General features: G+C 41.3%; 1 protein-coding gene across 4 annotated transcripts, besides 1 other annotated feature; it reads left to right on the forward strand.

Moving 5' to 3' along the window:
- Positions 2,240-2,299: an enhancer, noted in NCBI's record as "active region_29985". NCBI's record gives its function as "activates an Ori minimal core promoter by ATAC-STARR-seq in GM12878 lymphoblastoid cells {active_cell/tissue: GM12878}" and the evidence as "EXISTENCE:reporter gene assay evidence [ECO:0000049][PMID:35858748]".
- On the forward strand, positions 2,530-17,360 carry CT45A1 (cancer/testis antigen family 45 member A1). 4 transcript variants are annotated; one of them, XM_011531352.2, is made up of 5 exons: positions 2,530-2,537; positions 13,067-13,241; positions 15,160-15,408; positions 15,790-15,883; positions 17,108-17,360. In XM_011531352.2, exons 2-5 carry the CDS (start codon positions 13,073-13,075, stop codon positions 17,163-17,165), a joined length of 570 nt encoding a protein of 189 aa, XP_011529654.1. In that variant the 5' UTR covers positions 2,530-2,537; positions 13,067-13,072; the 3' UTR covers positions 17,166-17,360. The 4 variants fall into 4 exon arrangements, with proteins under 4 accessions (XP_011529654.1, XP_005278198.1, XP_047298129.1 ...); XM_005278141.5 differs by lacking the exon at positions 2,530-2,537 and adding an exon at positions 7,581-7,667; XM_047442173.1 differs by lacking the exon at positions 2,530-2,537 and adding an exon at positions 7,771-7,839.
- Positions 17,361-18,368: the final 1,008 nt, after the last annotated feature.

Genomic DNA, 18,368 nt, shown 5'->3' on the forward strand with positions numbered 1-18,368 from the left:
TCAAGCATGTCCTGAAGGCGAAAGTAAGTTCCATGATGAAGTGGCCAAAATACACATGGATCCTATTCCTGCCACACAACTTTCTCCATCTACGATTGGCAGGATACTAAAATGGTCCCCATGAATTTCACCCCCTGATTAAGTTACCTAGCATGACAAAAGCGATTTTGCAGATGTGAGTAAGGTTACTAACCTGTTAACCTAAATATAGAGGAATTCCTCAGGTGGGCCTAACCCACACACATGAGCCTTTAAAAGCAGAGTCTTTTCTCCAGCTGGTACCACAAGAGGATGAGACAGTTATGAAGAATGAGAAGAATTTGACATGCTGATGCTGGCTTGAAGATAGGGAAGGGACCTCGTGAAAAGATCTGGTAAGCCCCTTTATGAGTTGAGAGTGAGTCCCAGTTCACAGCCAGCCAGAATCAAGGATTTCAGTTCTGCATGGCAAGGAATTGGATTCTGCCAAATATCCAAATGAATTTGGAATTGCATTCCACCCCAAACTTTTTAGATGAGAACACCGCTTGCATACAATTTTGATTTTGGCCTTTTGAGACTCCAAGTAGGGAACCAAGTCAAGACCTCCCAGATTTCTGAACTGCAGAACTGTGAGATAATAAATAATAATTCAGTGTTGCTTTTAGCCATTTAATTTGGAGTAGTTTGTTACAGGGCAATAAAACTAATACATTCTCTCAATCTGCACCTATATCCCTAAGGGGAGTACACTACAACCAGTTGAATGAAGAAGCAGTACCTCAGGGTTAGTTTACCAATAGAGCTGAATGACATGCAGGCACCACTTATATTAGTTTTCATACAGGAAAAAAGAGAGAGAGAATATAAATTAATTACAATCTCATTTGTTGGACTTATATTTAGGTTAAAATGTAACATATAGGAGAAGACTACTGGAATCACGGAGGAAAGACCAGTGAAAATCCACGCTTTTATTTTTTAAAAGTCGCAAATATTGTCAACATAAAGATTCTTGAAATTCCAGGAATTCAACAGTCCGAAGAATATTTATTCAAGAAAAATGGCTAAATCACACTACCAACCATAAGCGTTGTGATGTTTTAACTTGTTCCATTCCCCCACACTCTGCTCTGCTCCAATGTTAGCCTTTAAACTTACACCCTCACAACTCTGGTAGCTCTGAATACCATCAAATTATCAGCCACTTGCAGGGAGCTACTGGTTGGAGCTCCCCTAAAATCTCTATTTCCAGACAATCACTACTTTGAATATTAATATTATTATTATGTTTGAGACAGGGTCTCTCTCTGTCTCCCAGACTCGATGGCACTGGCACAATTATGGCTCACTGCAGCCTCGACCTCCTGGGTTCAAGAGATCCTCCTGCCTCAGCCTCTGGAGTAGCTGGAACTACAGGCATGAGCCACCGCGGCCAGCCTAATCATCACTATTTAGCATGCCACCAAAACTCCCTGAGAAGCACCATTCTCAGAGCTTGTGTTTAATTAAACTGTCTGATAGCTGGCTTTGTGTGAATACCCCATCCACTATCTTCAGGTGTAAGCTAGGAATTCCTGTAGGGCTGTGTTGCACAGAAGTGATGGCAGTGGGCAATGCTGTCCTGTTTTGATTTTACAAGGAATGCATCTAAGATTTCTCCCCTGCGAATAACGTGTGCAGTGGATTTCTGATAGACCCACAGCTAGTATCATACTGAATGATAGAGACCTTTCTTATATGCGTTTACATTTTTTCTCATGAATAGGTTGTTGCATTTTAACACGGTTTATGCTTTAAGTGTGATGATAACATAGATTTCTTTTTGTGTGTGTGTTAATATAGTGTGCCATCCATGAACTTACTGGCGGTCAGGTACAAATTCACCCCATTCTTTTTGAGACAGGGTTTGGTTCTGTCGCCCAAGGTGGAGTGCAGTGGCGGGATCTCGGCTCAAGGCAACCTCGGCATCCCAGGTTCAAGTGATCCTCCCATATCAACTTTCCTAGTAGTTGGGTCCACAGGTGCGCGCCACCACGCCCAGCCAATTTTTGTGTTTTTCTTTTTGGTTGGTTGGCTGTTTTGTACAGCCAGGGTCTGGCTATGTTACCCAGGCGATTTCATCCCGCTGTGTGAGAAAGTTCTGCGTTCCTCTCCCTACGTAGCTGTGCAGTTGTTACTGAAGGCCGACTGTAGAGGGCGCCAGAGTCAGCGAATGGGAGGGCTGTGCTTCCTGGTTCCCCTGGCTGGAGCCCATGGTCTTGCAGAGTACAAGCCTTCACCTCGGGACTCTGGCGCCCCCAACAGATTCCCAGTGTTCAGCTGGGGCAGGACAAGTGGTGGCCAGCAGCTTCCCTTCCATCCCCCTTGGGCTGTACGGGATCAGTGCTTCTGGTGAGATGCGTCCCATGCACATCATTCACAGGTACCCTAGAGGGCACATATCCCACAACTCCCAGAGGGCAAGTTTCCAGAAAGTACAGCCAGTGGTGGAATTTTCGCTGCCATTTTGTGAGGTGCCACAGCCGCTCCTCTGGAAAGGTTAGGACTTCAGGACTGTGAGTGGGGCAGTTTTTCTCTGGATGCTTTAATATCGCCCCAGAAAGTGTCTTTCTGGGGTGCTCTGCGTTGGGTGTGTGGTACGGCTCCCTGGGTGATGTGGTTCCGCTCTGGAGACACCACCGTGGGTGCCTGTGTCAGCCGTCGGAGACCGTTTTCCTTGGGCACCTTGTCTTCGCTAGCAGGGTTTCACTAACTTGTCAATGTGTCACGGTACTGCACAACATTGATAAAACAAGCATCTATTATGCAACTCGCTTCGTGTTCCTTATTTAGTGGTAAGAAAGGCAAGATGTAGGAACTTCCTGTTCACCTTATGAACACCATCTTGACATGCCAGACTACTAGATTGTTAAACGTTTCACTCAGTTAGAAGGTCCCTGATTTTGTGTGGGAATTATTTCTCACATAATGTCTTGTAAGTGTGTCGCTAATGTGTCTGGATTAGTTGCTACCTCCTGCGCAGTCAGCATAATGTCATCAGTGCAAAGAATGGTGTTACATCTGGTTTAAGAGAAAGGTGGTCATGGTCCCTAAGGACTCGTTTAGGATATAAACCTTGAGAGTTGATATAAGGTTGAAAGAGGAGATGATAGTACATTGCTGTCCTTTCTAGCTGGACCCAAACTCTTCTTTATGACAACTACTGAAAGTAAACAAAACATTCACCTAATTAATATTATATATCAGGTTGCCAGGGATGTCACGGTTGCTGACGCAACAAAACCACCTGCAGTACAGCAGCTGCAGTTGGAACAACAATTTGATTAAGTTTATGGTCCGATCTCGGCTCACTGCAACCTCCACCTCCCAGGTTCAAGCAGTTCTCTTGCCTCAGCCTCCTGTGTAGCTGGGACTATAGGCATGCACTGTTACACCTGGCTAATTGTTTGCATTTCTTAGCAGAGACAGGGTTTCACCATGTTGGCCAGGCTAGTCTCAAACTCCTGACCTCGAGTGATCTGCCCACCTCAGACTCCCAAAGTGCTGGGATTACAAGCGTGAGCCACCGCGCCAGGCCCCGGCTATTTTTTGTATTTTTGGTAGAGATGTGGTTTTGCCATGTTGGCCAGCCTTGCCTGGAACTCCTGACCTCAAGCGATCCACCCACTTCTGCCTCCCAAATCCTGGGATTACAGGCGTGAGCCACTGTGTCTGGCGAAAACTTCACTTTTAAGTGAAACACAGAAACAAAATCAGATAATCAGAAAATGAGATACTGCATGTTCTCATTCATATGTGGGAGCTAAACAATGGGTACACATGAACATAAAGGTAGAAACCATTGACTCTGAGGACTCCAAAAGGGAAGTGGAGGGGAGGGAGGGAGCGGGTTGGAGGGTTGAAAAACTACCTATTGGATGCTCTCTTCACTATTTGGGTGATGGGTTCACTAGAAGCCCAAACCCCAGCATTATGCAATTATACCCAAGTGAGAAAACTGTACGTGTACCCTTCTGGTATTTATAATTTTAAAAAGGTTAAAAAAGAAAGCTTCAGTTTTAAATCTTAACCAGATATACATGAAAAGGATTACTACACTTTGACACCTTTACAAGTTTCTATGTTAGTTTTTAGTATTAAAGGTGAAACCTATTCCTTGACCACTTTATTAATTGTATATCCTCTTTGAACAAACATCCAAAATACAAGACTGTCACTTTTCGTTCTGTAACTGTGATTCTTCACTGCAGTCTTCTATAGATTTTACAGAGTTAATGGTCCCTAATATCTGCCATTCTCCAACTGTCCTGGGTGGCGAAATGGCTGCCATAGTAAACTTGTCACTGATAAATAGAGTTTCTGGAAACATGCAGGGCTTGTTATTTAAGAGTGACTCCATTTGGGCATTCTGGTGGATGGCCTACAGGTTTTCTTGCAGAGTATACTAGAGTCTCCAGAATGAATAACCCTAGGAACTTGAGGAACTAGCGCTTTCCAGAATTTTGGAAGCCAAGATACAAATATTGGTTTTCTCAAAAGCAATGCAAGTGGGAAGGAAAATCCATATCTAGACTAAATGTCTGTTGAGGTAAGAAGAAAGCACTTCTCTTTTTACAATAGAAGTGATCTATTGTAATCCACATACCAACTAGTGGCTGGCAGATCATTTTGGAGTCTGGTGCTAAATTGGGGGCTTAGTGTTGGTCTCCATTCCTGGAAGATTGTTCACTCAGCAATGACTGTAGCCAGGTTTGCCATGGTGAGTGGAAGTCCATGCTACTGCGCATAATCTCCATCCTTGACAGTTTGACCACTTTGTTGAGCCCATAAGATTGTGACACAAGTGTTGGGGAAAGAGGCTAATTAATATGTAGATAATAAGTACCTTATCCATCTGATTATTAAATTCTGCTCTGCTGAGGATACCCTTTGCTGAGAACTCTCATGAGACCCCAATATCTTCACATTGTATGTCCACTTGGAAAGGTCTGTCCACATATTTGTTTTTTTTTCTCAGACGTCCTTGACAGAAATTTTTAATCATGTGTCCTCAATGTCCCTGACAATTCAGCGAATGAGTGGGACACAGCCTATGCATGGTACATACTTACACGTCTGGATATGCCTCCTCCAAGAAGGTGCACTGCTCAAAGTTCTTCCCTCTGGGAGGATTTCCCTTCATCACTGTCCTTCAGGGCTGTCCCAGTCAGGACTGTCACATGCAGCTGTCCACTTGTGGCTTGTGTGGTAGGCAGGATTCTAATTAAGCCCCAACAAGATTCCAGTCTCATGGTTATTCAATCAAATACTCATATGAGTACTGCTGTGGTGGGATTTTTTTAATGCAAAAATGAGTATTTCATTTTGATAACACTAGAAGAAACAAACAAAACAACTGTGTTCCTACATCGAAGTGAAAACAATGTTTAAGCTTTCCTATCAATCAAATATATTCCAAAAGAAAATGTGTTCTGTAAAGGTTCTGAAACACAGGCAAATATTAATACAATAGGCTAGGAAGCTATAATACTGAAAATGACTCTCTTCTGACAGGGTACTTAACAAACATAATTTTTAATTTTAATTTTAATTTATTTATTTTAAGACGGAGTCTCCCTTTGTCGCCCAGGCTGGAGTGCAGTGGCTCGATCTCTGCTCACTGAAGCTTGTGCCTCCCAGGTTCAAGTGATTCTCCTGCCTCTGCCTCCCGAGTAGCTGGGATTGCAGGTGCCCACCACCATGCCTGGCTATATTTTTAATTTTTTTTTTACAAACATAACTTTTGAATTACAAAACCAGTGAAGTAATCCCTTCCAAATAATTGTGTCAAGAGTGAAACTGCTTGTTCCATTAAAACTCCAAAACTTTCGCTGTAATATTTTTTGCCACTATGAACAATTCAAGTAAATTTTGCTGCACTTAAAATAAGTTATGAAAGTGGAAAAATGGGCGGGGCGTGGTGGCTCACACCTGTAATCCCAGCACTTTTGGAGGCCAAGGAAGATGAATCACTTGAAGTCAGGAGTTTGAGACCAGCCTGGCCGATGTGGTGAAACACTGTCTCTACTAAAAATACAAAAATTAGCCGGGCATGGTGGTGCATGCCTGTAATCCCAACTTCTGGGGAGGCTGAGGCAGGAGAATCACTTGAACCTGGGAGGCGGAGGTTGCAGTGAGCCGAGATTATGGCACTGCACTCCAGCCTAGGTGACAGAGCCAGACTCTGTCTCAAAAAAAATAAAAAAGGTGGAAAAATATACAAAGTTCCAGATTAAAATGATTAATAGATGCAATATAATAAGGTTTCCCCTCCTTTCTTTTTTTCTTTCTTTTTTTTTTTTTTTTTTTTTTTTTAGACAGTCTCACTTTGTCACCCAGGCTATGCGATCAAAGCTCAATGCAGCCTCAAACTCCTAGTCTCAAGCCTCCTGGTCTCAAGCCTCCCAAGTAGCTGGGACCACAAGTACACTTTCAGCTAATTTTTGTATCTTGTGTACAGACGGGGTTTCACCATGCTGCCCAGGCCACTCTTGAACTCTTGGGCTCAAGGAATCTACCCACCTTGGCCTCCCAAAGTGCTGGGGTACAGGCATGAGCCACCACACTGTGGCCCTCATTTTTCTTATCAATTAACAACTGTTACCTTTAACAGATAGAGGTTGAATTTATATTTATTTATTTATTTATTTATATTTTTAGACAGAGTCTCGCTCTGTTACCCAGGCTGGAGTGCAGTGGTGTGATCTCAGCTCACTGCAACCTCACTTCCCCAGTTCAAGTGATTCTCCTGCCTCAGCCTCCCAAGTAGCTGTTGGGACTACAGGTGCGCGCCCCACGCCCGGTTAATTTTCTGTATTTTTAGTTGAGACGAGATTCACCATGTTGGCCAGGCTGGTCCCGAACTCCTGACCTCAGGTGGTCCAGCTGCTTTGGCCTCCCAAAGTGCTGAGATTACAGGCGCGAGCCACAGCGCCCGTTGGGGTTGACTTTAAAACACAACCCCATCCAATGAAGATTTCAGTTTGTTGATGTTGTCGTTTCTTTCTTTCTTTCTTCTTTCTTTCTTTCTTTTCTTTTCTTTTCTTTTTTTCTTTCTTTCTTTCTTTCTTTCTTTCTTTCTTTCTTTTCTTTCTCCTTCCTTCCTTCCTCTCTCTCTCTCTCTCTTTCTTTCTTTCTTTCTTTCTTTCTTCTTTCCTTTTTTTTTTTTGAGATAGAGTCTCCTCTATGGCCAGGCTGGAGTACGGTGGTGCGTTCTCGGCTCTCTGCTACCTCTGCCTCCTGGGTTCCAGCGATCCTCCCACCTCAACTTCCCGAGTAGTTGGGACCACAGGCGCCCGCCACCATGCCCAGCTAATTTTTGTGTGTGTTTTTTTTTTTTTTGGTTGGTTGGTTGCTCTGTAGAGCCGGGGTCTCACTATGTTACCCAGGCGATTTCATCCCACTGTGTGAGAAGGTTCTGCGTTCCTCTGCTTATGTTGCTGTGCAGTTGTTACTGAAGGTCGCCTGTAGAGGGCGCCAGTCAGCGAAGGGGAGGGCTGCGCTTCCTGGTTCTCTGGGGCACGAGGCTTCACCTCAGGATTCTGGCGCCCCCAACAGGTTCCCAGTGTTCGGCTGGGCCAGCACACTGTGGCTGGCTGCTTCCCTTCCTTCCATCCCCTTTGGACCAAACGGGATCGGTGCTTCTGGTGAGACGCCTCCCCATGCACATCACTCCCAGGTGCCCTAGGGGGCACATTTCCCACAACTCCCAGAGGGCAGGTTTCTAGAAAGTGCCACCAGTGGGGAGGCGCCACAACTTCACTGCCATTTTGTGAGGTGCTGCTGTCTCTCCTCCAGCAAGGTCAGGACTTAAGGACTGTGAGTGGGGCAGTTTTTCCCTGGATGCTTTAATTTCACCCCAGAAAGTGTCCTTTTTCCTCAGAAAGAGTCTTTTCTGTGGTGTTCTCTGTCTGGTGTGTGGTAGGGCTCCCTTGGGGAAGTGGCTCAGCTCTGGGGACACCGCCATGGGCGCCTGTGTCAGCCGCGGGGGAGCGTTTTCCTTGGGCACCTCGTCTCAGCCATGTTGTGAGGCCGGGGGGCTTTTCTTGGGGGCTCTGTCTCGGTGATGCTAGGGACTTTTCCTACTGAAATGACCTGAGCCCGGGGGTGGGGGCCATGCCTTGGTTGCTTGTGTCGGCCTCGGGTGCGGTGCTGTTTCTTTCCCACTCAGTCGCAGTCCTGAGCGGGGGCTCTGCCTTGGGGACTCTATCTGTTCTCATGGAACATGGTGGGGGTGGCTGTGTCCCAGACGCATGATCGCCGCCCTGTGGGATCGCTGACGGGGGCTTTATCTCAACCTGCGAGGGACTCTTCCTTGGGTGCTGATGTCGTCCGTGAGGCACATTTGCCCTTGGATGTCGCTCACTCTCAGCTAGGATGTGTTGGCTTTTCTTTGGTTCTGCTTATCCGCGATGTGGACGCTTACCGGATGCTTTGTCTTGGTGGTGGGTGCTCTCTCCCGGTGCTGCGGGGGAATGGGGTGCTGTTCCTTGGATTCTCTAAGCCTATGGTGGGACTCAGGGAGCTCTGTGTCAGCCATGAGGGAGGCCACGTGACCTTGGGAACTCTGTCTCTACCCAGGTTGGGGTGCTTTTCCTCGGTGGGTTGATCTCAATTCTGAAGGAACTCTTCACCGGGACTCTATCTGACCTTTCGGCCACAGCCTCAGGTGTCTGTGTGGGAATGGAAGTCCAGAAATATTCGAAGGTTCCAGCTGTGCCACATTCGAACACTCGCTGTACAGTTAGTCTTTCATTCCAGCCACTCCGATGGGTGTGCAGTGATCTCTCCTTATGTCTACACTCGCATTTCTCTGCCGATTAATGAGATTGAGCACCTTTTTAAAAAAATTGTTTTTATTTATTGATTTTTGTTTGTCTTTTGAGATGAGGTCTCCCTCTGTCACCCAGACTGGATTGCAGTGCCACCACACCCAGCTATTTATTGTTTTTTTTTTTTTTTGAGCACCATTTTATGTGTTTATTGGTCATTTAACTATGTCTTTCATGAAGTTCCTTTTCAGGTATTTTCCTCCAGCTTTTACTGAGATGTTTGTATTTTAAAAATGGATTTGTAGTTTCCATATATTCTGTATTTGAGTTATATACACATGCACGCAGGCATATATGTACATATATAAAAATACGTATACAATTTTAGTATCTTCTATAAATCTTTTTTGCTTTTACACGATCTCAATAATGTATTTTAGATGAACAGATTCTCTTAATTTTATTAGTCAGTGTATTATTTATGGGTAGTGCTTTTTATTATTTAAGAAACATCTTTGAATCACCCAATGCCATTACTATTATATATATATAATACTTATATATATATAATACTTATATATATAATACTTATATATATATAATACTTATATATATATAATACTTATATATATAATACTTATATATACAATACTTATATATAATACTTATATATTATATATATATAATACTTACATATAATACTTATATATATAATACTTATATATAATACTTATATATATAATACTTATATATAATACTTATATATATAATACTTATATATAATACTTATATATATAATACTTATATATAATACTTATATATAATACTTATATGTATATAATACTTATATATATAATACTTATAGGTATATAATACTTATATATAATACTTATATGTATATAATACTTATATATATAATACTTATAGGTATATAATACTTATATATAATACTTATATGTATATAATACTTATATATATAATACTTATATGTATATAATACTTATATATATAATACTTATATGTATATAATACTTATATATATAATACTTATATATATAAAATACTTTAAGTTCTGGGATACATGTGCAGAACGTGCAGGTTTGTTACATAGGTAGACACATGCCATGGTGGTTTGCTGCACCCATCAACCCATCATCTACATTAGGTATTTCTCTAATGCTATCCCTCCCCAGCCCCCCTCCCCCAACAGATCCCACTGTGTGATGTTCTCCTCCCTGTGTCCATGTGTTCTCATTGTTCAACTCCCACTTATGAGTGAGAACATGTGGTGTTTGGTTTTCTGTTCCTGTGTTATCTTGCTGACACATGTCCCTTCAAACGACATGAACTCATTCTTTTTTAGGGCTGCAAAGTATTCCATGGTGTATATGTGCCACATTTTCTTTATCCAGTCTATCATTGATGGGCATTTGGGTTGATTCCAAGTCTTTGCTGTTATGAATAGTGCCGTGATAAACATACGTGTGCATGTGTCTTTATAGAAGAATGATTTATAATCCTTTAGGTATATACCCAGTGATGGGATTGCTGAGTCAGATGGTATTTCTGGTTCTAGATCCTTGAGGAATCGCCACACTGTCTTCCACAATGGTTGAACTAATTTGCACTCATGATGATAATATTCTAAGTTTTCTTCTAGATCTCCCAATCATCAGAAATAAATTCTCATGGAATGGAGTAAAGTCAGAGTCCAGATATATTTGATGTGATTATTAGCCATTAGAGTATGACTCTTATGAAGTGCATATTCAGCTTTTCCCCCCAAATTTTAGTGGGATGTTTGTTTTTTAGAAATTCATTTGTAGTTCTGGATATATTCTGGATTCCATTCATTTGTTGCCAGATAAATATGTATATATGTGTGTAAGTAATATATATTTTATATATAACCTATACTATATACTACATAATGTATAATCTACAAACATGATTTGGTTTTTCACCTCTTAATAGTGTCTTTGAGGAACAGAACTTTTCCATTTAATTATGTCTAATTAAACAATTCATTCTTTATGGTTAGTGCTTGTTTATCCTCATTAAAAACATCTTTGCCTATACTATAGTTGTGAAGACAGTATCTTAAGTGTTTACTAGATTGTCTATCCATCTTTAATAAAGTTTTGTGGAGTGGGAAGAAGTAAGAGTCAAGGTTTGTATTTTCCCTGCATTTATCAAGTGCATTTATTAAAAGCACTGTCTTTTCCACAATGATTTACAACTCTTCTGTATTTTGTATTTCCAGATTGTTTCTGGCCTCTGTGTCCTCTTCCCTTGGTGTATTTGCCTGTCATTGCTCCAGTACCACACTGTTTTAATTACTCTACCTTTATAGTAAATTTCATATATAGTAGTGCGTATCTACTAACTTAGTTCTTTTTCTTTAAAAAAAACTTTGTATTTTCCTTGGCTTAAAAAAAACTTGGCTTTTCCAAATCTTTAATTTGCATATACTTAAAAAATGATCTGCTTGTGAATTTTCAGAAAAACTTTTGTTAACATGGTGGAATTTTAAATATGATTGCTAGGATCATTCTGAGAGACTTGACAATAATGTCTTTTAATAATGTCTTTTAATAATGTCTTCCAGCCAGGCATGGTGGCTCACGCCTGTAATCCCAGCACTGTGGGAGGCCGAGGTGGGCAGATCACTTGCAGCCAGGAGTTTGAGACCAGTGTGGCTAACATAGTGAAACCCCGTCTCTACTAAAAATACAAAAATTAGCCAGGCGTTGTGGCAGGCGCCTGTAATCTCAGCTACTCGGGAGGCTGAGGCAGGAGAATTGCTTGAACTCAGGAGGTGGAGGTTGCAGTGAGCAGAGACTGTGCCACTCTACTCCAGCCTGGGCGACAGAGGGAGGCTCCGACTCAAAAAAAAAAATGATGTCTTCCATTGCATGGAAAGAATATTTTTCTCCATTTACTGCAGTCTTGAATTTCTCTGAGTGATGTTTTATAATTTTTGTGTAGTGCTGTACCACATCTTGATTAAATTTATTCCTAAATATTTGATGTTTTTGGTACTGTTTTTAATGACATTTGAAATCTCATATTCTAATTATTTGTTGCTATTAATTATACAGAAATGCCATTGGTTTTCATTATATCTAGTAAGTTGACTAAATTTGCTTATTAACTGTAATGATTTTATTCTTCTGCATTTTTCTATGTACAGAACAATGTCATCTGTGAATGACAGTTTTATTTCTTTCCAAATTTTAAACCTATTGTATTTTCCTGATGCTACAGCACTTTTTAGAACCTCCAATAGATTGTTGAATGGATAGTGGACATCTTTGTCTTGTTTTCAAACTCAGGGAGAAAATACTGATACGTCACTATGAAGTATGGCATTTAAAAATTTTTTGTACATATGCTAACCAGAATAGGAAACTTGCCCTTTTTCCTAAGTTGGTGATAGTTTTTATCACGAATGGACTTTAAACATTGACCATGTATGAAAATGATCATGTGGTGTTTCCCTGTTTGTTGCTGTTGTTGTTGTTGTTAATGTGGTGCATTACATTTATCGATTATCAAATGTTAAATCAATGTTGCCTTTCTGCAATATACTCCACCATGATGTATGTCCTTTTTAAGTACTATTGCATTTTATTTGCTCACCCTTAGTTTGGAATTTTTGTGTCTAAGTTCAGGGGTGATATTGGCTTGTATTTTTGGCTTGATCTTGTAGTTTTTCATTCTTCTAAATTCCTTGTCAGATGTTGTTATCAGTTTTGTATCAATCTTCTAATAAGAGTTCCTAATAAGGGTTAATACAGATTGGTTTATACATCTATTTGAATATATAAGTATAAATACTTATATATTAAATACATATTTTGCATAATATAATGTATAATATATAGTTTAAAATATAATGTTTAACAAGGGTTAATACAGATTGGTTTATACAGCTATTTTTCCTAATAAGGGTTAATACAGATTGGCTTATACATCTTCAAATAGGTAATAATATTTTTATCTATTTTTGGTTGATGACAGCTGCTTATTCCACAAGCATTCTGATTGATTTGGTTATACCATCTTTCTTCTGTTTTACTTTGTGTACATTAAAATTAGGTTTCTTTTCCTGAGAACAGAGTGTTTGTTGAGACTTGGTAAATCTTGGCTCATGATTAAAAGTGAAATTAATGATTCAAAGTCTTGGTTGTATACACATATGCAGATTGCTTGCCATTTTGTGATTGTTAGATTTTTGTCATGAATAGAATATATTCATTGATGTTTTTCAGGAAACAATGACCGATAAAACAGAGAAGGTGGCTGTAGATCCTGAAACTGTGTTTAAACGTCCCAGGGAATGTGACAGTCCTTCGTATCAGAAAAGGCAGAGGATGGCCCTGTTGGCAAGGAAACAAGGAGCAGGAGACAGCCTTATTGCAGGCTCTGCCATGTCCAAAGCAAAGAGTAAGTAAGCCTGTCCTCACGTCCTCCTCATGCTCCTGCCTCATCCCCTCCAGAGAAACTGTCCTTGTCAAGGTTAACAGTTTCGGCTGACATTGCCATTAACTTCTCAGCAGCATTTGACAGTTGTTCACTCGCTTCTTCATGAAAACCTTCTAGGATTTCCATTTCCGACAATCTTTTTTTTTTTTAATTTCTTGTCCGTATTGGTGAATCCCTATCATTTTTTTCTTGAGATGGACTTTCGCTCTTCTCAGCCAGGCTGGAGTGCAGTGGCGCGATCTCGGCTCACTGAAATCTCCGTCTCCTGGGTTCAAGTGATTCTTCTGCCGCAGCCTCCCGAGTAGCGGGATTACAAGCACCAGCCACCACACCCAGCTAATTTTTGTAAGTTTAGTAGAGATGGGGTTTCGCCATGTCGGCCAGGCTGGTCTGGAACTCCCCCCCTCAGGTGATCCACCCACCTCAGCCTCCCAAAGTGCTGGGATTACACGCACGAGCCACCGCCCCCGACCCCATCATTGTTTTTTTCTACATTTCTTTTTCTTCTCTTCTCTAAATACTGCAAAAAATTCCTGAACCCCAGCATCTCTCTCTCTCCTTCTATTCCACTCTGCCACGATCAATCACTGAGCTCCTGAGATACCTCCATGTTTCCCATTATTTCCCGCATCAAACACATACCCTCCAACCCTGCAGCCGGGTCATGATGTTGGCATGTAAATCACGTGATGCCATGTCGCTCCTGAACACCCATCCTCAACACTCCTAAGCACTCAGAACCGACTGCGAAGCAGCTTTGGTCTGTGAGGTTCTGCGTGGCCTGGCCTCCGTCACCCTCTCCTCACACGGGCCCCATCATCTCCTGACTCTCTCTGCTACTGTCCTTCACCCCGTAGTGCCCGGTCCATCCCCACTCCAGCCCATATCCTTGGCCTCACCGCAACCTGGAACTCCCCCTCTGCCTCTGCGCAGGCAGCTCTGCTTTCTCCTTCAAGCCCTGCCCAAGGGTACCTCCACAGAAGGCTCTGCCCAACCAGCAGCAGCTCCTGGGGCTCCCTCTGCTGCTGTTGCCCACAGGCCTGTGGACTGCTTCCTTACCACTAGCCCAACACTGTATGTTTCATTTGCTCATTGTGCACGTACTGTCTGACCGCCCCATGAGGATGTGAGCTCCAGAAGGGCAGGGAACGTTGCTCTCTGGGCTGTTTACTGCTGATCCCCAGCTACCGGCACGCTGCCTGCCACAGACGATGAATAAATGAGAGGTGTCAGACCTGGAGTGAAAAGAAAGTCACTTTTGTGAGACAGAAAGGAAGGATGAGGAAAATCATACACTAAAAGGGATTTTTTGTTGATGGAGTACATGTAGAACTTTCAGCAGTAATGGCCACCTCTATTTTCTCAGAATATGTTTGATGTAGAGAGGAGGCTGGTTGAGGTGTGTCCAAGTTGTCTGGCTTCCAGCTTAGTAAAACATGGCAGTTTGTAAGTGAATTTGAGAAATCATGATATCAAGTGAGACTTGCTGCTTTCAACTTGTAAAGCATAACAAGCTGAAACTGTCCCATGAGTACCAGGGATCTGTGAATGTTGCTTTAGAGTTGTACTGCCTTACTTGGTTTCCATGTCTATTCATAGGGCCAGAAAATAAGAGGTGGTTTTATTGTATTATGTGTCCTGGCCTCCGTTTGTCAGGCCTGGGATTTCTCCCTGGTGTATCCTCCCATTTATGAAATAAATAATTCCCTAGAAACTGAGGAGCACATAGATGTACCCAGAGGGGTGATGAAACACACATATCTCACAGCTCAGCTTCTCAGTTTGATTTCCAGAGCTGTCATTCATGAGGTCTATGTGGAGGGGAAAGAAAGTGGTCAAACACCAACTGATGGCTTTTACTCAAAATCTGTTTCACCAGAGCTTATGACAGGACATGCTATTCCACCCAGCCAATTGGATTCTCAGATTGATGACTTCACTGGTTTCAGCAAAGATAGGATGATGCAGAAACCTGGTAGCAATGCACCTGTGGGAGGAAACGTTACCAGCAGTTTCTCTGGAGATGACCTAGAATGCAGAGAAACAGCCTCCTCTCCCAAAAGCCAACGAGAAATTAATGCTGATATAAAACGTAAATTAGTGAAGGAACTCCGATGCGTTGGACAAAGTAAGTAATATAAGAATGTCTGTTTTATAAAACTATAGGAAGTCTCTCTTTCTATGATTCAGAAGATATTCATGTTGCCTGTTGAGTTTCATTCTTTGCCAGAGTTGAGATTGCACATAATTTATGGTGGTTCCTCTTTTCTTTGACTAAAGCATGTACATTTTTTCTTTTTCTTTTCTTACTTGGTTATGGTTAAAGGAGTTACATTCGTATGTATGTGCAGGTGTCTTTTTTATTATTTAGGTTTTGTATGTGCAGGTATCTTGATTTAAGCATTTAAAACATTTCAGCCTCTGAAGCATGATTGCTGAGGTGTAGATTCACTTCTATTCTTCTTTATATTTGATAATACTGAAGTTTTTTTTTTTTCAACATCTTCAGAATATGAAAAAATCTTCGAAATGCTTGAAGGAGTGCAAGGACCTACTGCAGTCAGGAAGCGATTTTTTGAATCCATCATCAAGGAAGCAGCAAGGTGGGTAGAAATAGGAACTGTCCAATTTCTTTAAGCACTTGGGCTCAATAGAGCACTGGGGGTGAGCGTTGGGGAACAGCCCCTGCCTTGCGTTTCTCAAACCCTGGTCCTCACTCACAGTTACGGCTGTCTCCACAGTTACTTAGGCTAATGTTATCTGAGTGTAACTCATTCTTCGAAGACTATGGAGACTTCCATTTTCACCATAGTCTGAGGTGCGCATTGTCCCTCAATTGACACTCTTTGTATTTGCTAGACTACCTCTTTTTAAAAAATTTGTGTAGGCACATAGCAGATGCATATATTTCTGGGCTATATGAGATATTGTGATACAGACAACAATGTGTAATAATCACATCAAGGTAAGTGGGGTTTCTATCACCTCAAGCTTTTATCCTTTGCGTTACAGAGAATACAATTATACTCTTCATTATTTTTAAATGTGCAATTAAATTATTACCGACTATAGTCACCCTGTTTGGCTATGAAATACGACATCTTATTTATTCCATACTTCTACGTATTAATCATCCCCACTTCCCACACCCTCCACCCCCACTAACCTTTGTAGCCTCTGGTAACTGTCATTCTACTCTCTATCTCCATTAGTTCAGTTGTTTTACACTTTTACTCCCAAAAATAAGTGAGAACATGTGAAGTTTGTCTTTCTGTGCCTGGCTTATTTCACTTAACATAAGGACCTTCGGTTCTATCCGTGTTGTTGCAAATGACTGAATCTCATTCTTTTTTTTATGGCTAAACAGTACTCTGTGGTGTATATGTACCATATTTTCTTTACCCATTCATGTGTTAGTGGACACTTAGGTTGCTTCCAAATCTTGGCTACTGTGGATGGTGCTGCAACAAACATGGGAGTGCAGATATCTGTTCGGTACACTGACTTCCTTTCTCTTGGGTATATACCCAGCAGTGGGATTGCTGGATCATATGATAGCTCCATTTTTAGTTGTTTGAGGAACCTCCAAACTGTTCTTCATAGTTAGTTGTTGTAGTAATTTATATTCTCACCAACAGTGTATGAAGGTTCCCTTTTCTCCACACCCTTGCCAGCATTTGTTATGCCGGCTAGACTGCCTCTTACCATGCAGATACATTTCTATTTCCATGCTGACTGTTACTTCATCTTTCTATCTGTCACAGCGCTTCCTACAGCATAGGTTCTTTGGCTATCTTTTGGTTAATGACATGTCTCTTTCTTTTCAGATGTATGAGACGAGACTTTGTTAAGCACCTTAAGAAGAAACTGAAACGTATGATTTGAGAATACTTGTCCCTGGAGGATTATCACACCCCAAATGCATAATCTCGTTAATGATTGAGGAGAGAAAAGGATCAGATTGCTGTTTTCTACAATGGAGCAGGATATTGCTGAAGTCTCCTGGCATATGTTACCGAATCAAATAGCCTTCCAGAGGCTAAGAAATTTCTGTTAGTAAAAGATGTTCTTTTTCCCAAAGCATTTTATTTGAAAGGATAACTTGTGTTTTGGTTATTTTGTATTCCCACCTGTGCTGGTAGATATTATTAACCCATTAGGTAAATACTATTACAGTCGTGGTTTCTGCAGCAGCTCACAGTGTTGTAGCTGGTATTTATCACTACGTTCTTTCGCTACCCATTTCACATTCCCTTTGCCCTGAGATAGCATGTCAGTTGGTCATGATGCTTGGCCTGGCAGGATGACTCAAACCTTCATTACGGAAGAGTCTGAACCATTAGATGTCCTGCCTGGATGGGGTTGCTGTGATCTTCCATTAACTCTAATCGAAAAACACGGGAGGACTAAGAAGCTCTCTAGACATATCACACATACTCTTCCTTAGCCCCTGGTGTAGTGGGAACCCGATCTCAATGTTGAAATCTGTATCATCAGCCTTCAACGAAAAGGCAGAACTAATGGGAGATTTTAATGTGTGTGTGTGTGTATTTTACACACACACACACATTAAAATACACACACACTTTAAAATCTCCCATTATACATGTAATGCACATTATACCTGTGTGTGTGTGTGTGTGTTGGTAGGGGGTATATATACCTACACACACACACTTTGTAATCTCCCATTATACATATAATACACATTATACACATTACACATATTACATATACACCCCTATTCATATATATATACCCCATATATATATATACCATATATAGTATATATATATATATGTGGTATATATACCATATATATATATATGCACGTAGGGTGGTATATCCAATATATATAATAAAGGTAGTTCCTAGATAGGATTGGCCTGATAACAATAATTTGGAGCTTCAGTAGCAGTCCCTTTAAGACTGTTGTCTCCAGATATGACTTGCACATTCTATGCTTTTTATTTTATTTTTTTAAGACAGAATCTTGCTCTGTTGCCCAGGCTAGAGTGCAGTGTCACGATCACAAGTCACTGCAACCTCCAGCTCACCCCAGTTCAAGCGATCCTTGTGCTTCAGCCT

The sequence above is a fragment of the Homo sapiens genome, chromosome X (assembly GCF_000001405.40).
Source record: "Homo sapiens chromosome X, GRCh38.p14 Primary Assembly".
In the NCBI taxonomy this organism is placed as follows: domain Eukaryota; kingdom Metazoa; phylum Chordata; class Mammalia; order Primates; family Hominidae; genus Homo; species Homo sapiens.